The sequence below is a fragment of the Homo sapiens genome, chromosome 14 (genome assembly GCF_000001405.40).
Source record: "Homo sapiens chromosome 14, GRCh38.p14 Primary Assembly".
In the NCBI taxonomy this organism is placed as follows: Eukaryota; Metazoa; Chordata; class Mammalia; order Primates; family Hominidae; genus Homo; species Homo sapiens.
This window is the reverse complement of record NC_000014.9, coordinates 93,953,720-93,977,424: the sequence shown is the minus strand read 5'-3', so window position 1 is coordinate 93,977,424 and position 23,705 is coordinate 93,953,720. Positions and strand designations below refer to the sequence as shown.

At 52.1% G+C, this 23,705-nt stretch overlaps 1 protein-coding gene across 7 annotated transcripts in view, besides 7 other annotated features; it reads left to right on the top strand.

Annotated features, from left to right (window-relative positions):
* The first annotated feature begins 854 nt into the window (after nucleotides 1–854).
* Nucleotides 855–23,705, top strand: part of ASB2 (ankyrin repeat and SOCS box containing 2) — a 42,405-nt gene continuing 19,554 nt past the window's right edge. For 2 of the 7 annotated variants that reach the window (XM_011536834.4, NM_001202429.2), the window contains exons 1-4: nucleotides 855–991; nucleotides 12,813–13,091; nucleotides 20,555–20,659; nucleotides 22,942–23,108. In XM_011536834.4, coding sequence (XP_011535136.1) covers nucleotides 12,886–13,091; nucleotides 20,555–20,659; nucleotides 22,942–23,108 — 478 coding nt within the window. In that variant the 5' untranslated portion in view covers nucleotides 855–991; nucleotides 12,813–12,885. Of the gene's footprint in view, nucleotides 992–7,454; nucleotides 7,506–12,812; nucleotides 13,092–20,377; nucleotides 20,660–22,142; nucleotides 22,318–22,941; nucleotides 23,109–23,705 lie in introns of those variants that run through there. The other 5 variants (XM_047431473.1, XM_017021369.3, XM_005267758.4 and 2 more) reach the window with 4 other exon arrangements.
* Nucleotides 1,803–2,374: an enhancer, noted in NCBI's record as "H3K27ac-H3K4me1 hESC enhancer chr14:94441397-94441968 (GRCh37/hg19 assembly coordinates)". NCBI's record gives its function as "activates a minimal SCP1, AML or CMV promoter by ChIP-STARR-seq in naive H9 embryonic stem cells {active_cell/tissue: H9 hESC(naive)}" and the evidence as "EXISTENCE:reporter gene assay evidence [ECO:0000049][PMID:30033119]".
* Nucleotides 13,942–14,442: an enhancer, noted in NCBI's record as "H3K4me1 hESC enhancer chr14:94429329-94429829 (GRCh37/hg19 assembly coordinates)". NCBI's record gives its function as "activates a minimal SCP1, AML or CMV promoter by ChIP-STARR-seq in primed H9 embryonic stem cells {active_cell/tissue: H9 hESC(primed)}" and the evidence as "EXISTENCE:reporter gene assay evidence [ECO:0000049][PMID:30033119]".
* Nucleotides 14,443–14,943: an enhancer, noted in NCBI's record as "H3K4me1 hESC enhancer chr14:94428828-94429328 (GRCh37/hg19 assembly coordinates)". NCBI's record gives its function as "activates a minimal SCP1, AML or CMV promoter by ChIP-STARR-seq in primed H9 embryonic stem cells {active_cell/tissue: H9 hESC(primed)}" and the evidence as "EXISTENCE:reporter gene assay evidence [ECO:0000049][PMID:30033119]".
* Nucleotides 17,161–18,360: an enhancer, noted in NCBI's record as "P300/CBP strongly-dependent group 1 enhancer chr14:94425411-94426610 (GRCh37/hg19 assembly coordinates)". NCBI's record gives its function as "activates an origin of replication core promoter dependent on BRD2, BRD4, P300/CBP, MED14 and CDK7 cofactors, with strong dependence on P300/CBP, by STARR-seq in HCT116 cells {active_cell/tissue: HCT116}" and the evidence as "EXISTENCE:reporter gene assay evidence [ECO:0000049][PMID:35650434]".
* Nucleotides 21,028–21,732: an enhancer, noted in NCBI's record as "H3K4me1 hESC enhancer chr14:94422039-94422743 (GRCh37/hg19 assembly coordinates)". NCBI's record gives its function as "activates a minimal SCP1, AML or CMV promoter by ChIP-STARR-seq in naive H9 embryonic stem cells {active_cell/tissue: H9 hESC(naive)}" and the evidence as "EXISTENCE:reporter gene assay evidence [ECO:0000049][PMID:30033119]".
* Nucleotides 21,733–22,439: an enhancer, noted in NCBI's record as "H3K4me1 hESC enhancer chr14:94421332-94422038 (GRCh37/hg19 assembly coordinates)". NCBI's record gives its function as "activates a minimal SCP1, AML or CMV promoter by ChIP-STARR-seq in naive and primed H9 embryonic stem cells {active_cell/tissue: H9 hESC(naive and primed)}" and the evidence as "EXISTENCE:reporter gene assay evidence [ECO:0000049][PMID:30033119]".
* Nucleotides 22,550–23,527: an enhancer, noted in NCBI's record as "H3K4me1 hESC enhancer chr14:94420244-94421221 (GRCh37/hg19 assembly coordinates)". NCBI's record gives its function as "activates a minimal SCP1, AML or CMV promoter by ChIP-STARR-seq in primed H9 embryonic stem cells {active_cell/tissue: H9 hESC(primed)}" and the evidence as "EXISTENCE:reporter gene assay evidence [ECO:0000049][PMID:30033119]".

Sequence of the window (23,705 nt, the reverse complement as noted above, 5' to 3'; positions counted from 1 at the left end):
CTGGACCCCTAACTCTGAGGCATGAGATGTGAACACACGGGTGGGAGAGTAGGTGCCTGGCCATGTCCTGTCACATCCCGGATGCTCAGTGCATGTGGCTGTGTATGTGTTGTCTTTGACATTTGACCTATTCCAGAAATGGGACGTTCTTCCCTAGACCAGGAGGAAGGGCTCTCTTCTGTTGTATATCTCTGCCCAGGGCTTGCCCGCATGCCTCTGTGTTTGTTTGTTGGCTCATTTGTACCCTGGCCCTTTGTATCCCCAGCCCCACCCCACAGTATCCAGCAGCCAGACACCTGCTATCCCCAAATGCTGCCACAAGCTCAGCACCAAACCTTGATTTCTCCAAAGCCCTTTTACGTCAACTCCTTCATCTCCTCTCTCCCCTTCTTCCCTTCTCTTTCACTCCATCCTCTTCCTTCCTGCTGTCTTGCCTTCCCTCCTTTGTTGCCTTTACTTCTCCTCTTCCCCTTTCTTCCTCCTCCCTTGCTCCTCACTCTTTGTCTCCCAACTATGCGTCTCCTCGTCCTCGTTCCCTGCCTCTGTCTCTGACCCACTGCATCTCTCTCCTGTCTGGCTCTCCCCTGGGTAGTTCCAGAAACATACCCATATATGGCCTCCATGTCAAGGATCACAAATGATGACATCACGTGAGGGCCAAAGCTCCGGGATCCTCTCTGAAGTGAGAGTCTGTATTCGATGCACCCGGAGGAACGGAAGGCAGGATTGCAGCTTCCTCAGTGCAACCTCCAAACAGGAAATCTGAGATGTATAACATCTTATAGTTTGGCTTGTCAACGTTGGTCATGCGGTGGCCCCAAAATAAACTCCCTGCTTCAAAGGACAGCGTTTCAGAACTGCCTGGCAGAGCAGCCAGAAGCTTGGGGCCAGGGCAGAAGGAAAACTCGGGGAGCATGTTCTGAATTAAGACACTTTCAAGAAAATCCTTTGTATTACCCCTGAATTGTACCCTTGTTTCAGAGCCTAACAGGTAATGCATGCTTTCAACTTTCTTATACAGATCTTGCAAAAGATTCTTTGGCTGGTGGGGATTTTCGGCTGCAGTACTTACTGGAAACCGCTTGTAGTCAAACTGTGATGTTGCTTTTCCCTCTCTCTCGTATTTTCTTGAGTTATACAGCACGCTGGTGACTTTCGTTTTGGATGCAATGAACAGAGACTCAGCAATTTGCATGTACTTACCCATTCTTCTGGAGGACTCTGGCTCAGAATATCACTCTGCTGTGCACTTCTAAAAATGGAAATGCAAAAGGACTTATCAATGATGCTATTGTTGGGTCTGTAGGTCTTGGGCGGTATCTGTGTCAGACAAGTGACTTTCAGAAATGCTTTCAGGCCAGGCGCACAGATAGAGGTTTTCATGAGTGGGAGTTAATTTAATGTAGCTGTTGCAGAGTGCCTAGGCATGCACGGTATTGTGGGAGACCATAGCAGCCAAGGTGCCATGTGCTCTGCTTTCAACTGTTTGGGGATTAGGAGAGGAAATGGAGGAATGTTATTTATGTGAGATCCAACAAAGCTGTGGAATGCAGGGATGCAAGAATACCATGCATGTGTGTGCACACGCATATGCATGACACATTTAAGGAGGCCATGGCCTTTGAAAGGATGGGTGGGATGCCTCAGGGTGGAAACAGAGACCTCCAGGTGGAGGAGCAGCTTGGGCAAAGGCAGGGAAGTCAAGGGACCTGGGGTGATGATGGAAAGTGAAATGTGGCTCTGGCAAAGGGTTCTGCATGTGAAAAATGGGGGTGAGGCTAGAAGGGGAGGCCAGAGGGAGAGGCACATCCTTCCAGGCCAAGCAAGAAGTTGGAACACTTTCTGAGAGTTTTTGAGCAGAGGACGGCATGCACATAGCCACATGCATTGAGCATCTGGGATATGAAGGGACACAGCCAGGCACCTACACTCCCACCCGTGTGTTCACATCTCAGGCCCCAGAGGTGGAGGCCCAGAAACATGACTTGGTTTCTGGTGCCTCTAGGTGGAGAATCATTTTCATTTCAGTGGCCCATTCCCCTTGGAGGATGTGAGATTTGGCTTCGGTGGCTCTTCGGGAAGCCAGGGGTATGCACTGGAATGAGGAGGCAAGGAGGCTGGTGACTCCTAGGGAGGGCAGGTAAATGAGGAAGGCCTGAAGCAGGGCAGAAGCTGAGCCCCTGCACAGGACAGGAATGCTCTTCTGAAGATAAGCTTGTTTCGTGAGGCGAGGGCTTGAGGGGGCTCAGAGGGACGCAGGCAGAGCCAGCTGGGGCCAGCACCCCCGCCACAGCCCTGACCTCTGCCTGGGCAGAAGCACCATGAGGCAGACAGTGGCAGATGCTCGAGGCACTTCCAAAACAGTTGGACGGGTCCTGACAGCTGGTGGCAGGCCCATGTGCTGCACAGCGTCCCCAAGAAGCTGGCAGCAGCTCCGCTGGGTGCCATGCTGGTTTGCATCATCTGTTCTTGCACAAACAGGCCGGGTCATGAGTGCCTTGTGGTGGCGGGGGTGGGGGACACTGTCTAACCCACGCACGGTGACCTCACAGTGAACAACAACACAGGCCATACCAGCAAGCCTTTGTTGAGCACTGGCCCAAGCTTGTGTGCAGATTTCTCTCACTGACTTCGGTCAAGGCTACCATGAGTTACAGGTGATCGTTACTCCCATTTTCAGGTCTGGAAACAGGTTATGAGAGCTTAAAAGTCTTGCTTAAGGCTGGACGGCTGCAAGTGTTGGAGTCAGGAATCTGACCTTTTGGTCTGCAAGGTCCACATTCAAAGCCACAGCGTCCTGTGGCCTCTCAAGGTACTGTGGCAGTGGTAAACAGGACCATCGTGCACCCAGGGGAAATGTCTCTGGCACACTCAAGGCATCATAAGGTGCCCGTATATTGTGGACAGGCTAGATCCAAAGAGCCTTCCCAAAGGAGGCACAAAAATATCTCTGGGCCTGCCCAGTGTCCTTCCATTTCTGCGCTGCAGAGGATCAGGCTGCCCACAGGAGCCAGCTGTCACAGGAGTGGCTTGTGTCTGTGGTTCTCTTTCCTTAGCACCATTGTTTGGAATAATTAACGCCCAGGAATATAAATGAAGTTATTAAGAGCTTTGTGGTTGGGAGGAATGTTTTTGGGGAGGTGGTGCTGAAATAAAGGTAAATTGAAATTCCTAAACTATCTGTTTTTTAAAAAGAATGGGACATAGAGGAGTAAAAAAGGAGAGAGGAAAGCAGAGAAAAGAGAAGAGAAAGATTTAAATGGAGGCGGGGTCAGGGGAACTCAGAGGAGAGAGGATAAAAAAGGAAAAAGAACCTCGCCGATTTGGGTGAGATCTAACTTAAAAGATTTCCAGCCAGCCCTGCAGGTGAGGAGGGGCTATGGAGGATTCCCCCTGCCCTGCCTGAGCCTTCCCGCTCTGCTGCCTGGAGTTAAAGCCTCCAGAACCCCCTGTGTCTTCTGCCACTAAGGAACCAAGGTGAGGGTCCGCCGTCTTTGTCTGCCCAAAGGACAGAACAGGGCTAGGCGGGCTGTGCTAGGGCAGGGGTGCTGGGGAGGCTCAGAGGTGGACTGACCAGCCCCGTCCACCCCTGTCACCCCCACCTTTGGTCACTGGCACAGATGGCAGATCCTGGCATTGGTAGTGCCTGGGCAGAATATGGGTCAGGGGCCTGGAATCCTGTGTCCTGAGCTGTGAGTGTCTGAGCCACACAGATGCGGGGAGGGGCCAGCCTCTGGCAGGGCCAGGAGGCAGCAGAAGGGCCCTTCACTCAGGAGGTGGAGACGAAGGTCACCCATGGGCCTGGAGACTCAATAGCTCAGGGGCCCAAAGAAGTAAACTGGAAGCTTGACTTTTGTGGGTGCTTTTCTTAGCTGGTGGTGTGGGCACTGCCGCAGGTAGTGGGCATGTCCTGTGCAGAATGGATGCTCATCATTGCAACAGGGCACTTTCCACATTCAAAAAACCTTCTACAGGGAGGTTTTTCCTGTGTTTTTCCTTCTTCCCTCTCTTCCTCTCACCATCATTCTTGCTCTCTTTTTGGAGTGGCATCCTCAATGTACATCAATAAGTAAATAAATTACCAAGACTTTTCGTTAGGGTCTTAGACTCTTCGGGAGAGATTCACCAAGATTTGGATCAGCAAGAGGCGCTCCATTTCAGATGCAGCCTCAGTCTCCTCCTCTATACAATGGGCACAGAGTGTCTGCTGGCGTGGGAGCAGAGCCAGCTTTGGACAGGTTCAAATCCCTGGTTGTCACCTCCTACAGGGTTATGTAGGGGCAGTCACACCCCTACTCCATACAAAGAGAAGAGCCCTGTCTTGTGGAGTCAGCTGGGGCCTGCAGCCCTGAGCACACCTCTTGAGTCACCTCCAGCAGCCCCAGCCCAGCCTTGGAAGCCCCAAGGCCCTGGCACCCGAAAGCCGGGAGCTTGAAATCAGCATCAAAAGGTCTGAGATGACGCAGCCGGTGGTGGTGGTGGCTGGGGGTAAACTGGAAGCTTGGCCTTTGTGGGTGCTTTCCTTAGCTGATGGTGTGGGTCTGAGCAAAGGCTCAAACTCCTAGCAGCTGTGAGGCCCTAGACACCAGGCCCCAGGGCAGCCAGAGGCTTGAGAGCACTGCCCCCATGGCCAAAGGCCCACCCTGGCTACGACTTGGCCACTCATAGGGGTCAAGGGCAAGGTGGCTGGGATTCCATCCCCCCTTCCTTACCAAGGTCAGAGCATTTCTTAGCCAGAGCAGAGATGAAGCCTCCAGAGGGATGAGGTTTAGGGTCACGGAGCAACTGACTCCTTGCCATGCCCTTAATGTTGTGTCAGAGGGCCTGATGAAGACGGCGCAGGCTGACGTGGTCTCAACCTCTGTACCACATACATTCCAGGCCTTAGTCTCCTCATCCGCGCCATGGGAAGACCACTCTTCTCCCTAGTACTGAAAAAGTAAAATGAGGCAACCTATGAAAGTGGCCTGGATGGAGACAGGACAAGGACCCACAGGCACCAGCTTAATTTTTATTGATTAGGTTCTAAAACAACAGGACCCGGGAAGGGAAGAGAACAATGTCCTACACCTCCGAGCACTCCAGCTGGAAGCGTTTCCTTGGGTTTCCTAGGACCACCCTGGATCCTGGGGGGAAAGGCAGATCAGAAAGATAAGTTTTGGCAGAAGGAGAGAGCATTGCAAGGAAGGAGGTCGAGCGCCCTGGGTGCCAAGGAACAGCCCAGTTCCTGACTCCTCGTGTGTCCCCAGGCTAGCCCAAGCAGCCAGGTTTCAGGATTGCCTTAGCTACGGGTCATGTGATATTTGGGAGACCTTGAAGCTTTTGGAGTAGATTTATAGAAAGTATGTATATGTGTGTATATTATATATATAATATATATTATATTATTAATATAAAAATATATAATTACCTATTATATACTTATATGTTATATGTTATTATGTGTGTATATTATATAATATATATAATACATGTAGCGTGTATGTAGTGTTTTTGAATATGAACACACATACACACACACACATAGTCTTCAGTTTGATTCTGGCCTTCACTCAAATCTTGAAAAACATCCGGTGGTTGCTATTCATTGTGTGGGATGAATACTTGGTGTAAAATCAGATGTAGCCTCTAGTCTCTTCCTTGTCACTTTTTCCCTTAGTGTGCCTCAGTCTCCTCATCTATAGAATAGGAACTATAATACGCTTATAGATTTATTATGTGGTTCAAACTAAAGACAAATATGAGAGAGAAATTCACTGCAAGGGAAGGTGTTATGGTTATGATTCTCCCCATACCTGCTGCAGTGGGACGTAGTGACCTGAGGGTGACACATGGATCTGAACCACAGGCTTTGCATAAGAGCTAAACCTAAAAGGTACAAGTGAACCCTAACCAAAATACTCATGCAGCACTTGCTCTGTGTTCAGCACCATTAAATGAATTACGTGCTCACTAAATGGCTGCTCTTGTCATTTGTTGGCAGTCACCTCGTGCAGAAATTCAAGCCTCCAAAGTCTAGGGCAGCAGATGATGTGAGCAGAGAGGGCAGGGGGACAGGAGGGTTCCTGGAGAGTGGGGAATTTGAAAGGAGTGTGCAGAATCCATCCTGCACCCAAGCTGGCTTCGGGGGAGGGCGTGGAGATCCCCTTCCTCCCCAAGCTCCAGCCCCATGATTGACCCTTGGGACCACCCGGCAGGCTCTGCGCACAGCCCGGGGAGCTGACAGTCACAGCGGCAGTTTTGACCACAGCTGTCACGCGAAGGCTGGGCTTGGGGCTCATTTTCACTTTCACTCTCAATCTTGTTAAATGGAGGAGAGCTTGTGGGAATTCAAATCCCTTGGATGGAGCCTCCTAGAGAACCGCCAGCTGGGCACGAGTTTCAGGTAGCATCCTCCCAGCAGGAACAGGTTTAGGCTGTTTCACCCACTTTCTGGGATCACGGCAGAGAATCGCAGCATCTTGGGACCTGTGGAATAACACGAGCAGATTTTTAGGGGCCACCGGCTGTGTGCCAGGTGCTCCACATTTATACCTGTCACCTAATTTCACCTGACAACACCTCCACAGGCAGGATGCCATTAATATCTTCATTTTATAGATGAGCAAAGTGAGGCACCGAGTAACCTGCTTCACATCACGTGGCCAGGAGGTGGCAGAGCTAGGGTTGAGTATAGGCAGTGGGGCACTCGGGCCGTGCCACCGTCTACCACTGTGCAGTAAACTTCTCCATAACAGCTGTGCTTCCAAGGGCTTGAAGCACTGTCATGATCCTATCGTTCATTCACCCGTCTGTCCAGCATTTATTCAATACCTATTGTGTACCTGACTTTGGGTTAGTTCCTGGGGTTACAACATGAGTGCGACATAGTCCTGCTCCTCAGAAGTTTCTAGACTTTCTAGAGAGACAGGACCATAGCAGGCAGTCCAAGCAGTAGAATGTGAAGGGGGCCCTTGGAGGCAGCAGAGGACTCTCAGCCATCAGGGAGGCTTCCTGGTAGAGGAGATGCTGGAGCTGTTTCTGGAAGGGCACCTTCAGGGCAGGGTAGGCTGACGAGCAGCTCCATCCACAAACACAGCCAAGGATGCTAAGTGGCTTGTGCAGCCTCACATGTCCGACCCAAGTCCCTGGCATGACCCAAGCCTCTGGTGGAGCTTGGTGTGGTGGAGGATGGCTGCCAGCCTCCTTCTTGGCCCCGCCTTCCCAGCTGTGTCTCCTCTAGCCCCCAGTTTTCTGCTAAGACATCTGGAGAGTGACCACCTCCCACCCCAGCCCCTCAAACAACCACATAGACCCACCCCATCCACCGCCAGTTCCCGGGCAGACCCTGGCTGTCTGCAAACCTGGGTTGGTAGAGAGGGGAAGGTACTAGGAGGAAAAGACCACTTTTTAAATGCAATTTTGGTCCTCACTATAACCCTGCCAGGGTCCATGTCTCTTTTCCCATTTCACAGATGTGGAGACTAAGGCCCAACTTAGAAGAGAGCCGGCTGTGAATGAACCAGGTACTGCTCTGAGTGGATTTGCCTGAGTAATTTACGTGGATTAACCTAAGTAACCCTGTCACAGCCACTTTACAGATGTCACCTGGGGAAAGATGGGGCTTCTCAAGAACCAATGTTTGGGGTTCTGCAAAGAGGGCAGGAGAGGCACTCCTGAAGGCCCTGCGGGGCCAGGCCTCCCTTGCTCCACACTGGCCTTGGACTGGCCCCTCCCTCTACCAGGAAGCCTCCCTGATGGCTGGGCAAGGCCTATTAGACTCCTGCTTTCCTTGGGAAAGGGCTATTTTTGATTCCAATCAGCCTCCCAGAGTGTCCCTTGAGGCTGCTGGCCTCCCTCCAAGACTTAGGCCCAGAAGGCCGCCCAACCCCCAGACAGAGGTCTCAGAAATCAAGCTGGGCAGCATCTTCATGACAAGGGGAAACTGAGGTCCAAAGAGGGGCAAGGCATCACCCGAATCAATGCCCTCTCCCAAGAGATAGGTGCTCTGACCTTGTCCATTTTACAGATGGAGAAACTACTATTCCAGAGGCTCTCCCGGCTAACAACCAGCAAAGCTGGGATGTGAACTCAGTCAGGCTGGCTCCACACGCTGCTTCATAACTTCCCCCTCGTGCCAGGGCTGAGCAGCACCACCTGTCCCCCAGGAGACGCCGCCATAGCATCCCTGACAGCTGTCACCAGCCTACGACTGCATCCGTTCAGGGACAGGGAGTTTCCTGTCCTGAAGCGGCCCGTGCATTGCACACTTACTAACAGCCAGACCCACAGCTGAGCCTGTACACACATGAACCCTTTTGACTCTACCACCAACCCCATAATAACACTGGCTAATATCTCCATTTTGTGCATTTTATCCATTTTACCCATAAAGGTGGGTAACTTACCCAAGAACCCTTGAAGGCTGAGGACCTCAGTGGGAAAAGCAAGAGATATGTGGGTCCACAGTGGGGTAGGAAATTTGCCTCTTCAAAGGCAGAGTCCCTCTCTCTCAAGTAAACTCCATAACAGCTGTGCTTCCAAGGGTTTGAGCACTGTTGTGGTCCTATCATTCACCTGTCCATCTAGCATTTATTAAATACCTTTTGTGTACCCAGCCTTGGGTTAGGTCCTGGGGTTACGAGTATGACATAGTCCTGCTCCTCAGAAGTTTCCAGACTTTCTAGGGAGACAGGCCTCTAGCAGGTAGTCCAAGGAGTAGACTTTCTCAAGGTCCTGTCAAGGTTAAACCCTTCTCCTCCCTCTGCGTGTACCCTCCATGCAGCAGGCAAAGAGGCTGGTATGGTGCCCAGGGCACAGATATAGGCCAGGGGGTGCTGGGCAGCTGGGAGGATAGCTGGCTGCAGCTGGATGAGGACAGATCTGCTCCAAACCCATGTGTGTGTCAGTTGCTTGGGTCAGTGTTCCTGGAATTGCCAGAAAGAGCATTGGATTTGAGGTTGGAAGATCAGGCTTCAAATCCCAGCTTTCTATATGTCTCTCCTCCTATAAACCCTTCCCCTCCCGCTCTAAACCTTACCTGCCTCATCTGTAGAATGGGACCAATAACGTATGCGCATCAGGGTCCTTTTGGAAGGAGAGGGGCTGTAGAGGAATTAAGTTAATTCAGTGAAAATCTTCCTACCTTCCAGGGCTGTGTGAGGTAATGACATGGATAATTGGCCAATGTAAAGTCTCTGAGTGGTGTCAACCCATGGGAGAGGCTTGGGAAGGGCCTGGTAAGTCTGGAATTAGCTTCGGGATTGGTGATTCTGGGTGACCATTACCTGGCTGCCTTCGCCTCCAGGAAGGCACATGGTCAGGGAAGGGCCACTGCAGCCATGTGCTGTCTATGAGTCTCTGGCCCATACCAGGCTGCAGGGCCAGCAGCTGCCTGGAGATGATGAGGGGTCCCCACGAAATAATCATGTTACCCCTTACAAGCTGCCTACACATCTTAGCTCACATATGCTTCTACAGCATAGCGAAGTAGCTTATCTCCTTCCCATTTTTATTAATAAAGGAACTGAGGCCCAGAAAAGGGGAAGTGACCTGCCCCAGGTCATATAGCTAGTAAGTTGCAGAATTGAAAGTAGACTTAGGGGTCCTGACCTCCAGACTCAAGATCCCTCCACTCCCCCCGGGTTTTCTGTTCCCCCATGGCCAATACTAACCTCTTTTTGTCGACACGGCCATAGGGGATCCCCAGGGACAGAGAATTTGAGGTTTAATAGCACAGAGCCAAACCAAACGTCTCGCTGAGTTGCAGACTCTTTAGAACTGAAAAATCTGCGGAAAACTTCCAGCCCCAAATCGTCCTTTTGCAATGAGGAAACTGAGGCCCAGAGTAGGACAGGGACTTAGCTGAGGTCACAAAGCACTTTGGCCTTAGCAGGGCAATTATAGCTCAGCCTATGACTCTTAGTGCAGTGCTCTTCCCCCTTGTGCCCTGGCTTTGAGCAGACACCTTTAGATGGTGGCACCAGGATGCCAGGCCAGGTCCTGGGCACCAGCACTTCCTGCTAGTTCAGCACCATGTGCACTGAGCCCCTACCTTGCACCAGGCGGTGGGGTATGTAAAGCCAGACCAGCTTTAGAGAAGAGAAGGGTGTCATACCTCACTGGGCAGAGCCCCTTCCCCCCGCCACTGAAGGCAGACCTGGGCCAACTCAGACCTGGCAGGGACCCCAGCCTCAGAGAAGCAACAAAGGAGTGGGAAGCCAGGCCTGGGCCAGCTGGAGATGGGGGCTCCACCCAGCTGCACAGGTACCTCCTGCCAGTACAAGGGCCAGAGGACAGGCTCTAGTCTACCCTGCCATTTAACAGATGGAAAAACTGAGGACACAAGAGAGGAAGAGAGGCGCTCATGGCTGACTTGGGACAGAAACCCAAGTCCCTTGGTTCCCTGTCCTGGGCTCCTTTCACAATAAATAAAACTGCTGCTACTGCTGTAAATAACAGCACTCCAAGCATCGGGCATAAAATGATTGTGAGGTCATGACCCTTCCCCTCCTCTAGTGTGGACCACAGACTGGCCACCTGACATATTAATCTCATTGAGCAGGGGTTCTCAACTCTGGCCACACACTAACATCACCAGAGAAGCCTCTAGCATTGCATTCCCTGGGTCCCAGCCCTGAGGCTTTGAGTTCATTGATTCAGGGCTGAACCAGGTCCTTGACATGTTTTCAAGACTCTCAGCCAGGCCTGAGAGACATTCGTTAAGATGATTTGACTGCCTATAAGAGAAAACCCAACTAACATTGGCTAAACCACAAGAATCTTCAGTACCTAACAAGTAGGCTAGGGTGGGCGGACCCAGCATTGGTTCAGCAGTTCTGCAACATAATGAAGGACCCAGAAAAACTATTATTCATTATGCCAAACTCATTGTATCAACCTGTCATTCACTGTCCCCCTCATGGTCACAAGATGGCTGCTGCCACTCCAAGCATCAAGTCCTCCAAGCACTAAGCAGAGGTTGGGGAAAGGAATCATTTTGTTCACTACTCTCTCTTTTATTAGAAAGGAAAGTCTTCCATAGGAGCACCCCAGCAGATTTTCTGTTATAACTCTTTGGATAAAACTAGGCTACAGTCCCACCCCTGGACTTGTCACCAGCTGAGGCGGTGAGATTGTCCCACCTGGCTTGAAGCAGTCATGACTCATCCATGGGACAGGGCACCCTGTTGCCTAGACAAAGCCAGGTTCTGCTATCAGGGAAGATGGGGGAAATGGCCATTGAGGGGACTATCCGCAGGATCTGCCACACCCTATGAAAATGGAGCTGTTTGGCCAGCCATGCAGTGAACTTTGACCTCCTCACATAAGGTGCTGGCCTTGGAAAGAGGATCCAGGGTCAAGTCCACCCATGAACTACTGACCACAGCTCAGGAGAAGTTCCTCTTCCCAGAAGGATCTGGGTCGGCTTCCCAGAAGAGGGGCACTTGCCCTGGGCCTTGAAGAAGGAGAAGGCTCCTCTGAGGAGGTTGGGCTCAGGTGCCCGGGTGTGTTCTCTCTGGGGCCTAGGCTGAGGGGCAGCAAGCTCCAGTGGGAAGCTCTTCTCTTGGTGATGGCAGAGGAGCAAGAGCAAACCCCAGTGTACATACTTGTCATGTGTATCCTTGACGCATGTCCATCAGCCCTCACAGGCCAGGGCAAGTCATGCATATTGAGACCCATATCAACAGGGAAGGGTGGGGAAAGATCTGCCTTTAGGGAAAGGGAGTGAATATTTGCTGAACAAATCAAAGTAATGCACTGGTATTCGGGGTATTTTTTAGAGGGCCATGTGATTCAATGTTCAGCCAGGACCAAGAACCATTGACCCACACAGTGTGAGTCAGCCAGCCAGAATGAAAATCAAGCTTAGTTGATTCCACTTCATATTCTTAAAGCATTGGCACCCAACTGGAGTCTATTACTCTTTGAGGCATTTTTAAGAAAAGAGTCACTGGAATTAACATGGGACGTTATTTTAATGACTGATTTTAACTAGATCATGTGATTTGAAGTAATGGGTCTGTGTCTGATTCATCTCTGGTATTCTCAGGCCCATCACAGTGCAAAGAAATGGAGAAATGCCAGGATCTATGCTCTTGGTAACTGGTATGCAATCCTGTGTAAGCTCCATGAGGGCAAGGATTTTTGTCTGTTGGAATCATCGTTGTATCCTCAGTGCTTAGAAGAGTGCCTGACACAGAGTGGGTGCTCAACAAGTGAGCATAAATACATGGATAGATAGGTTATCTGGAATGGAAAAATAAACAATGGATGAGTGGATGATTGGATAGATGGATGTATGGTGGGTGGATGTGATGATGCATGAATAAATGGATGGCTGGGTGGACAGATAGGATAATGGAGGGATGGGAGGACAGTTGGATGGATGGTTGGACGGATAGAAAGATGAATGGATGGATGAATGATGAGTAGTGCTGAGAGAATAGACAGATAAATGGTCAGATGAGTAGACAGATGGATGGATAGGAGGATAGATGGAGGGTGGTTGAGTGGGTAGTTGGATAGTTGAATATATGTATAGAGGGGTGGATGGATGGGAAGGTAGATAATATATAGCTCGGTGGGTAGATGGATGTATGGGAGGATGCATAAATGGATGGATGGTGAGATGGGCTGGTGGGTAAATGAATAGATGAGTGGATGGATGGATGGATATATAGATGGATAGGTGGTTAGGTGGGTCATGTGACCAATGAATAAATTTAGAAATGAATGTGTTACTGTCAGTGAAATGCATACCCTTCCCTGAGGGTAAATATAGCTATCCTGCAAAACTGTTCGTGACCAGGATGGTTTTGGTTTCCTCACAGGGTTTTCTGATTTGCTGTTCCCTCCTCCCCACTGGGTGTCTGTTCTGGAGGCCAGGGTGAGAGGTGGAGGAGGATGGCCACGCAGATCAGCACTCGGGGCAGCCAGTGTACCATTGGGCAGGAGGAGTACAGCCTGTACAGCAGCCTGAGCGAGGATGAACTGGTGCAGATGGCCATCGAGCAGAGCCTAGCGGACAAGACAAGGGGCCCAACCACTGCTGAGGCCACCGCGTCTGCATGTACCAACCGCCAACCTGCCCATTTCTACCCATGGACCAGGTGAGCAAGGCGAGGCTGATGAGGGAAGTGGGGCCATCCAGGACATCCACAGACTGTAGATCCCTAATGCTGTTAATCCAAAACCACGGTATCCTGGTCTCTAGGTTGCTTTTCACACCTTTCCCATTTACATTTGTTATCTGAACTTACCAAGCTCTGGCTGTGCCAGGTACTGAAGTGGGTGCTATACACACTCTGCCTCCTTTCATCCGCTTAAGGACCCTCTCAGTGGGCTCTGGGTTATAGACCCATTTAAAAGAGGAGACTGAAGCTCAGGGCTGAAAAAGAGGCCCGAGGTCACATAGCCAGTAGATAATGCTGCCGAGATCAGAGCTGCCTGGCTCCCTATCTTACAACACAGCCTCCCTTGAAAAACATATCTGGTGAGCAAGGGATGTCTGCCCAGCAGAGCCATCCTGTCTCCTTCTTCTGGCTCCCCACTCTCAGCCCCACCTCATCCTCTCAGTCACAGGACTTTCTAAAGCAGCGCCATCCAGATATGACACCACCCACAACTGCAATGCACGGATGCAATTTTAAAGGTTCCAACAGCCAAAAAAGTAAAGAGAAACAGGTGAAATTAATTTTCATTGATAGTTCACATCTGAAGTATCACCATTTCCACCAAGAGACTTATATTTCCATCAATATAAAATTATGAATCAGATTGTTACCATTTCTTTTTGCCCATCAAGTCTTTGAAATCCAGTGTGTATTTTACACTCACAGCCCATCTTGATTCAGACTGGCCACGTTTCAAGCGCTCCCTAGCACATGTGGCCAATGACTACCTTATCAGACGGTGCAGATCTAGACGACACCTCCTTTGTAGGAGGTGGGAGCTAGAGAGGTGATTAAGCAGAGCGGTGATTGATCTCAAAATGCATTTGGAAAAGACCTCTATAAGCCATAAAATTGCTTTTGCTCCTCACCCCCGTCCCCAGCCAAGGTCAAGTGTGTTTGGGCATGAATGGCAGGGCATGGGAATTGCTGTGACAATTGTGTTGGTGTTACTTTGAGGCATAGGCCACAAATCTCATTGTGTACAGCAGCCAGCTGGCTCCCTGCGTGACCTCAGGCAAGTCACTTAACCTCTGAAAACCTCAGCTTCCTTCTCAAATAACAACAACAACAAACAGACTTTTTCCGATGTGCAGTCACAGTTGACAGGGGATGAAGGTGGGTGATGGTGCATCTCAGCCCTGTCCCCTAAGTGACTTTGCCCTTGCCGAGGCTGGACCATCTCTGTCAGGCTGGCTGGGCAGAGGCCCAGAGCTGAGGAGCCCCTTTTAAAGGGGAAGGCAGGCAGCTACTTTGGGCAGCCGGAAAGAGTACGAAGACTCCAGGTTACTAAGCTGCCCCCGAGGACGTTCCATTCTGAAACCCAATCTGAGAAACAGAAACCTGAAGCCAAGGACTGGGTTCATCTTGGCTCATGCTCAAGGTGGCCCTGGTTCCTGTTCTGGCCGGTTCAGCGGAAGACAGGCCACAAGTTCCTCTTCCTCAGGAGGGGGTCAGATAGAGATAGGGCATCCTTCCTCTGAAGACAGGGCCTGCTGCATGAAGCCAGCACGTCCCCTCAGGTGTCTGCAGCCTTCTCCCCAGCATAGGAGCCCCCTCAGGAGTCCCAGGGATGCTTGGACACATTAGAAAGAAGTGGGCCCTCGGCATCCAGACCCTGACTCTGCCTTCATCTGGAGGGTAAGGAAATGGAGGCCCACAGTGGGCCATGAACATTTATTCAGCTTCCTGCGGAAAAAGCTCTCCTAGAGAATTGAGACCATTTCTCCCAGGTCGAGCAGCCCTCATCTGAGGTCCAGCCCCACAAGCAATATAGCAGAGGAGGGTCAACCTGCATCTTGTTACTCTAGGAGTGACCTGAAACCTCCTAGGTTCGGTTCTGCGCCTTCGCCTCTGGAAGGAGGCTGGGCTTGGGCCCTGCTGGGAAGAAAAACCCCTTAGATAGAATGTTTAGGCGGATCACGAGGTCGGGAGATCGAGACCATCCCGGCTAAAACGGTGAAACCCCGTCTCTACTAAAAATACAAAAAATTAGCCGGGCGTAGTGGCGGGCGCCTGTAGTCCCAGCTACTTGGGAAGCTGAGGCAGGAGAATGGTGTGAACCCGGGAGGCGGAGCTTGCAGTGAGCCGAGATCCCGCCACTGCACTCCAGCCTGGGCGACAGAGCGAGACTCCATCTCAAAAAAAAAAAAAAAAAAAAAAAAAGAATGTTTAATGAAATTCTTCTCCCCCCAAATGCACATTGAGCACCTCCCATGTGCCTGCCACACATTAATTCACTTAATGTTTACAAAAGCCACCCAAAGTGGATTGCTTCTGTGCCCATTTTACAGACGACAAAACATGCCCACAGCAGGGCCAGGCATGGAACCAAAGTCTGTCCCGCTCTGAAGTTCAGACACTTCACCAGGCTCTGCTGATGCTGTGAAGGCCTCTGTTTCCTTCCCCTACCCCACCTTGAGGTGAAGTTTTGACCTCATTACGTCCGTCTCCCACTCACAGAGGCCCAGGGTCCCCAAATTCACACGGCACACACGCACTTGTGCCCTCACACCCAGACACGCATTACAGTGGATGCAGGACCCGAGACAGTCCTTGTTCACTTTTATCTGTCCAAATAAATTCACAGCAAGTTTAGCAATAGGATGTCACCCTTGTCCCCAGGCAATCCACATAGCAGCTCCTTCTCATCTTCAGGTCTGAGATTAAGCATCACCTCCTCAGCCAGTCCTGCCCTGACCACTCTCCCGGGCCAGCTGGTTTTTCACCTCTTACTTGCTCTCATGGCTGTTTCCTCTGTGGCCTTCACCTTGACTTACAATTCTTATTTATTTCTCTGCTTCTGCCATTAACCTACGCCTCCAGTGAAGCGCTGTGTCTGACCTGTGGCAGGCACCACATGGCTATCTGTGAATGAGTGAATGGGTGAATAAAGGAATAGATGGAAAGGCAGCAGAGTGGAAAGAGAAGTAGGTCTAGAGATTCAAATTCTTCCTCTACACTTACTGGCTGTGCAACCTTAGGTGGGTGGCTAACCCTATCTGAGCCCCAGTGGCCTCATCTTTATAACAGCAACAACAAAAACATGCTGTGCTCCCCTTGCAGTATTCCTGTGAAAAGCAAATAAGATGAGGTGGGCGTTGGAGCCTTCCCACATCTTGCAGCTCGTATTGACCTCCCCGGCCCTGTCTGAGTGCTCCAGCACCAATCTCATGATGGCCTCTGCTTCACAGACAAGCTTCTTGGGTCTTCCTGGGACACCCTCCTGAGAGTGTTCCCAACTAGACTGTGACCTCCTAGGGGACAGAGAGCTGAGCTGATACTGTTTATTTATTTATTTATTTATTTATTTATTTATTTATCTCCAGTGCCCAGCTTAGAGCCTGGATCATTGTAGCTACCTAATAAATGTTTTTAAACAAATAAATACCTTTGAAACCAATAAAAAGCTCTAGCAATGCAATTGATCATTATTATATTGTGACCAAAATGGAGTCCACTGAGTCTTCTGGATCTTAGAAATGAAAGATCAGTATCCCAAAGAAAACAGAATTCTGTTAAAAACCATTTCCCAATTTGCTTCTGTCTCACCTCAACGTAAGGCACAGAATTTGATGAGGATCAAATGAGGATCATTTGCCAAGCTTTGGTCCCCTAAGGGACCCCAAAGGGACAGACCTAGCTTCCTGTTCCATGGAGAAGTGGGGTCCATGAACCCATGAAGTGCAGAGCCCAAGGTTTCCATGAATGGACCAGCCAGAGTGAGTCCAGGAGGCTGGGTCTTCCTAATCTTTAAACCTCTGCATTTCATTTAAGATACATTTCTGAGAAGACAAAGGAGGAAAACATGAAGCAGGAACTGGCTGAGGCTGTTGTGTGCACAGCTTCAAACAATTCAAATCAAGCCACCCACACTTACTCTGCACTTATGATATGCCAGGTTGTGAATCAGGGCTGGGTCCTGCTCTCCCTAAGATCACAGTCTAATGAGGGTGAAGGCCCAGAACTACCTGATGACACAGCAGGGAGAGCACAGCTTCCTCAGTTACAGAGGGACCCTGGAAAAGGTCAATTCACTTAGTCAAGGAAGTAGGCTTTGCAGGATGAATAGGAGTTCATCAAGCAGACTAGAGGAAGCAAGCCTCTTTGAGCCTCAGTTCTCTCATTTGCAAAGGAAGCCAATTACATCTCCTTCACCAAGTGGACTGGGGAATTAAATGAGATGCTTGGTGCAATGTGCCTGTTATAACAAGTGCTCAATGAGTCACATGTGTCTCACGGCACAGTGGTGGGCGTGGGGTGGACTCGTGGCATGGGGTGGGCGTGGGGTAGACTCATGGCACAGTGGCGGGTGTGGGGTGGACTGGTGACATGTTGGCGGGCGTGGGGCGGAATCGATTTTGTTAGCTCCCTCCTCTATTAAGGTGCCTACCTGCCCCCTGCATTCAGCCAGGCCCAGCCCAATCACTGCCTCCCTGGGGCTGACCTGGGCTTCTTACTAACTCAGACAGAGCAGCCATCCATTGACTCACCGAGAGGCTAGGAGCACTGTCCTGCCAGCCCATTCTCTGCTCTCACTGAGGCTGACCGTGCCTGAATTCATGACAAGCTGGACTCCAGGGTCAGGTGACGGTGACACATTCTCCACCCCAGAACCTGCCCAGTGACACACAAAGGACAGAGGCCCTACCTGGGGCTCTTCCAGGGCATGACCTACACCCACATCCTGCCGAGGCCAGGCTCCTCTCGCCTGTGATGACTCAGCCCAGGAGGTTTGCTCTGTTGGGAATTCCCCTGCTTGGGGCCCGAGGGGAAATGGGGCCTCCAGCCTTGATTGGCGAGAGCACGAAACCCAGCCAGGGGCCCTGGCTCCCCAGCCAGCCCTGAGACTCACGACTCAGTAACTCTGAGCGGTCGCCTTGCCCAGTTGCCAGCCCCAAAGCCAGTGGATGCACTCGGATCTCAGTGCTCCCAGAATGAGCCCTTCTGCCCCGATCTCAGCCCGTCCTCTGTGACTCTGTGGCTGTGTGTGGCCTTGTCTCCCTCTCTGCTGACTTCCAAATATCCTCAGGATCCACAAAAAGATAAATTTTAATGAGCTGCATCACCACCCAGAGTGGGCCTGGGACTGAGCCAGAGCTGGGAACTCTTTGTTGAATGGAACTCAGTCTGTCTGTTTCCTCATCTGCAAAATGGGAACAGCACACCCGCTGCTTCCATCAATGGTGGCAGGAGAATGGAAATGAGGAGAGGCTCGGCATGACTTTGTGAACATTTGCCCTGCACAGTTGTTAGAAACTGTCATCATCACCAGCTCCCTCCACCTCCATCAACCTCAACATCCCGGCCACCATTGCTGCTGCCATTACTATGCAGAGACAGGTCCTCGTTTAGATGGTGCAGTGGGCTTTTTCCCAGTGCTTTATTATCCTGCTAAAAACATTCTAACAATGGCAGGTAACTGGAGGCCACACATGCACTAAGTATGAGGGTGGCCGTGACCCAAGGATCCTGGGAGGTGGAAGCCCAGGGCCTCATCAAGACGACAGGGCTGGAGACAGCTGAGGTGAGCCTGGCCCCAGGCTGCCTCCACCTGCCGGCTGTCTCTCCTTCTCAGGACCAGGCACTAATGCAAAGGACACTGAACCCAGCAGCTGTCAGGGCTGAGGAGGGGCCTTGGCTCTGGGATCTGTTGGACACTGAATCTCTCCACAGCTACAGAAACAGTGTGGACATCCCCAGTCTGGTCCTGGTCCCACTTCTCCATTTTGCAAATAAGGAAACTGAGGCACAGAGCGGGGATGGGGCTTGTCCAAAGTCACAGGGACAGTCAGTGTGGAGGTCGGAGAGCTGGAGAGAGGACGAAAAGGCAGGAAGAGGCCAGGCCTTCAGAGGACAGGGTGGCATCAGGAGCTGGGCGGACAGTGGTAGTCTGAACCTCTGCTCCACTCGCTGTCATGCTGAAGGTGACCCTGCACAGTTAAGTCCCCTCTCACAGCCTCCCTGTCCTCATCTGTAAAAGGCACCCCCATCTACGGTTGATGGATGTGGATAAATGAGGACACATGCAGGCGGTGTCCTGCCCACCCCAGTGCGGGTCAGTAGAAGGCCAGAAGCAGGGGATGGGAGAAGGCAGGTGGGAGGGCGTGACAGCGGCGAGGATGAGGAAGGCAGCCAGGCCTGCAGGCAGCCCTGAGAGCATGAAGCAGAGGGGTGAGCAGGTTCCCCTCCTCCTGCCACCCTTGCTCCTCTCTACCAGGCTCTGGCCTTGCTGGGGTGTACCCACAGAATCTGTAGGCTCTGGCCTAGCCAGAAAGAGTGTGGGTGCTTCTCAGGGTCATAATTACCCCATGCCCCACAGGGTGTGAGTCACTGGTAGCAGAGTCCTCCCCAATCCCCCCCAGAAGAGTGTGGTGAAAGGCCCGGGCCACTGGGGTGTCGAGAGTGCCAGGCCTGACCTACTGGGGGTGGTGTCAGTAGGGGCCATATACCCTGTTCTCACGACAACCCCAGGCCAACTCAGATTTGTGGAGCGGCCATCCCACCTCCTTCCGGCTCTTCCACCCTCACAGGAGCCTGGTGGGTCGGGAAAACTGAGGCCTAGAGAGGCAAAATGATGATAAAATGAAGAGTGAGTACATGTGGAACACCCTCTGTGCCTCACACTCCACTAAGCTCCTCACACCATTCACTTACTCAGGCCTCACCGGCCCTCGAGCACAGGCTGTTTTCATGCCACCTTGCAGGAGCGGGGACTAAGGCACAGAAAAGGTCAACCTGTCTCACGTCACACAGCCAAGGAGTGCCAGAGCCCAGATGTGAACCTGTGTCTGTCTGACTGCAGCCCTGGTTCCGACGCCCTTCCTCATGCATCCTATAATAACACTATAGAGGTTACTATAGTGTCTGCTCCTACCCCTGGGACAAGATCCCCTAATGAGCTGGCAGGTGGGCGTGGGGGGCACAGGTACAGCTTGGCTTCTCAGCTTTGCTCCCCTATCCTCTGCTTTGCCATGAATCTCTCATCCAGCCCCGCAGGGATCTGCCTGGCCAGCAGTGAGCCTGAGCCCCTTTCATCCTGGGACCTGCCGACCACGGCTCACATCCTCCTGGGTGAAGAATGTCACCTTGCTTCCTATCTGCCTCTTTCGTGGTTGGCTGGGGAGGGGGACCGGGGGGTGGGGTGAGGTTAACCTCATTGTTGTCTTATATGGTCATTTAAATCTCCCAGGGCTTCCTCCAAGGGCCAAAAATAATCCGGAGACACAGCAGCTGTGTCCAGCACACAGAGGACCCGGCCATCTGCTTTGGTTCAGAGCCCTGTGTCTGTCAGTCAGTCTCTCCCTGGCTCTCCCTCCATCCTCATTCCTGCCTGAAGCCATGACCCGCTTCTCCTATGCAGAGTACTTTTCCCTCTTTCACTCCTGCTCTGCACCCTCCAGGTCCACTGCACCTCCTGAGAGTTCGCCGGCCCGGGCCCCAATGGGCTTGTTCCAAGGGGTCATGCAGAAATACAGCAGCAGCTTGTTCAAGACCTCCCAGCTGGCGTAAGTGACTCCTGTCTGGCCCCAGGACCATCCAAGTTCACTCCGCTAACTGGGATGGCAGGGAGGGTGGGAAGCAGGCCCACAGCCCCCAGGAGGGCAGAGGGCACTATGGAGGCACCTGCCAGGCACGCTCCTTCTAGGGGTGCCCCCCTGGGGCCCCACTGCTCCTGCTGAGATGGGCTTGGTGGCCACAGACTTCAGTCCTCAAGGAACTTCCAGCCAGGCATGCTGGTGATCCCCCCCTCAGATGCCCCCAGCATGGGACCTGAGTGCTGGAGGAGCCCCATGGGGCTCTGAAACTGGGGACCCAGCACGAGGGAAATTGGGGAGATGGCCTTAGAACCCCAGAGGCCCAGGAGAGCTTGGAGTTGAACTTGATGAGTTGGCTGCACCCTTCTGTTTGTCCCAGTCTCACTTTCCCCCATGCCATCGCTGTGGGTACATCCAAAATGCCCACACCCACAGCCTTTGTTTTGTTTATTTGCCCTTATTTGTGAAGTGCCAGGTGCTAAAATCCAGAAATAATCTAAGCTGCAGGGGCTCTGTTTGCCTGGCACCAGGGGGCAGGGCTAATGCGCTCCTTAGAAAATAATTCTGCCTCCCTCCCCTCTCTGTACCCCTGGAATAGTGACCCCGGAAGCAGCCAAAAGCAAAAGAGGGACCCTATCACTGGAACTGCATTTCCTCACTCAGTTACGTTGTAGAGAAGGGAGGAGGCAATTGGCCAATATTTTCTTTCTCCTTCCCAGCCTTTTTCAAATCCTGTCGCCCTCCACTTCCTTGGTGTGGTGGGTGTGTGGAGTGGTTGACAATCTGGAAAAGGGAGACCCAGAGCTGGTCTCAGCTACTGCCACCTCCTGCATGACTGCCTGAGAGTCGCTGTCCCCTCTGAGTCTCCCTTCTCTGCAGGACACGGCTGGAGAGGGCAACGTGACCTCTAGGGTCCCGTCCAGCTTACTACTCTGATGGCCTGACACCCCCAGAACCCTCCCCCACTCATAGGGCGGGGACTTTGCCTGAGGTCATGGAGAAGCTGTGAATATGTGGGCTGAGGGCTCCAGGGTCCTTGCATCACAGCTGGAGAGACCCAAGCTGGGCGGCAGGTCCTGAAAGTGTTCTCACGACACTGCACCACGCCCTGCTCGCCAAGGCCACGAGAAAAGCCAGCCCTCCTCCCTTCCACTTCAGCTGGGGTCCCTTTGGAGACACTCCAGGAAAAGGGGGGCACATACCCCCACTGGGCTTTTCCTGATGCTGACAGGGGCTGCTCTGGCTGTTCCTAAGTGGAACTCGTCAAGGTGGCAGTGACGGTGCTGATGGGGACCTCAGGACTTATCTGATCAGTTTCCCATCGTCCTTGCTGGGTCTGTTGCTTCACCGGCATCTGTGCTCTGACACCATTAATAACCACAGAGTCTGAGAGTCAGGAGGAAGTGCTGCTCACGCTGGAGGAAGTGGCTGGGAGAGTGCAGGGGCTGGTGGCAGAGACCGCCCAGAGCCCATCCTAGCCCAACATGGCGTGGGTGTCCTGGGAATGAGGCCTGCCTCCAGCCTCACCTTCTCCATCTGGGAAATGGGACTATTGATGCAGAAGCCTCCCCAAAAGTGGATCTGAGAGGCATAGACATCGTGGTTCTCACGGACTCTCCAAGGATGAGGTAGGGAGCTCAGTGAATGAATGAAGGAAGGAAGGAAGCAATGAATGAACAAAGGGACTTTAACAAGCCAAGCAAGGAACGGCTTCACTTTAGCCCTCAAATCTTTTTGACATTCAGAAGTTTTAAACTGTGAAGGCTTCAAATTTATTAATCCTTCCAGTATATATTTTTTTTCTGCAGCTGGATGTACTGGGAGTAGGAATAAGCGACAGGGCAAGGAGAGGAGTTGGAAGACCCCAGAGATATGCTCAGGGTTAAGAGGGGGCCCCCGAGATGGGCGTGCCTGGTAAATGCTAGAGTGCTATACTCAGGGAAAGCATTTAATTATCACAAGTGCCTCACATGTGGGTGGTTAGCCACCCTCTAGGAGGCTGGCATTGTGTGCCTGAATCCTCTTGGTAGAATTGGTTTTGGTATAACATTCCCGGCAGCCATGGAAAGCCACAGAGATGGAGGGATCCCCCAGTCCTCTTGCAGCCACTGGGCTGCAGGGGGCTGAGTGCTCATCCTGGAACCAGCAGGGACGAGGACCGAGTGACTCCACTGCCAGCACTCCTGAGAGAGAGGCCCCCTGGCCTGGCCTTGGCCTGACCTTGAGGACTGACCCACTCCTTCCTCTCACAGGCCTGCGGACCCCTTGATAAAGGCCATCAAGGATGGCGATGAAGAGGCCTTGAAGACCATGATCAAGGAAGGGAAGAATCTCGCAGAGCCCAACAAGGAGGGCTGGCTGCCGCTGCACGAGGCCGCATACTATGGCCAGGTGGGCTGCCTGAAAGTCCTGCAGCGAGGTGAGGGCTGGGCTCTGACGGTGGCAAGAGGTGGGAAAGGGACTAGGGGAAGGGCTGCCGCTCCTGGGGCTTCATGTTCTTTGCCCACAATCATCTTGGGAGAAGGGCAGGCAAGGCTGTCACTTTCATTTGTCAGTTAGTCATGGAGTTACGAGAGGGGAAATGAGTTGTCCCCACCCCCTGCTGCCACCTCTCCAGGCCTCCAAGGACAGGAGAGCCTAATTCCTAGAAAAGGAATGAGGGAGGGCTGACTTTTAGAAGAACCACTGCCAACTTGTTCCAGAATGTCCCAGGGGCTGATTTGGTGTGAAAAATACTGCAGCTGTGCCTGTGCCCGGCCAAGGCTATCCCCCACCTGCTGTGGGACCGCGGGACAGCCGTGCCTCCTCTCTGAGCCCTGTCTTCCTACTGAGCCAGGTTCAGAAGGGCAACTCCTGCAGGCAGGTGTCACCTCTGCCCTGAAGCAGCACAGACCCCACACGGCCCCCGACACTCCAAGAAACCATGGCATGTAACAGTGGGTTTCCAGCAATGGCTGGTGTGAGTTCGAGGAAAGGACAGGAGTATTCGAAGAGGGAGGGGCTCCATTAGGGAAGG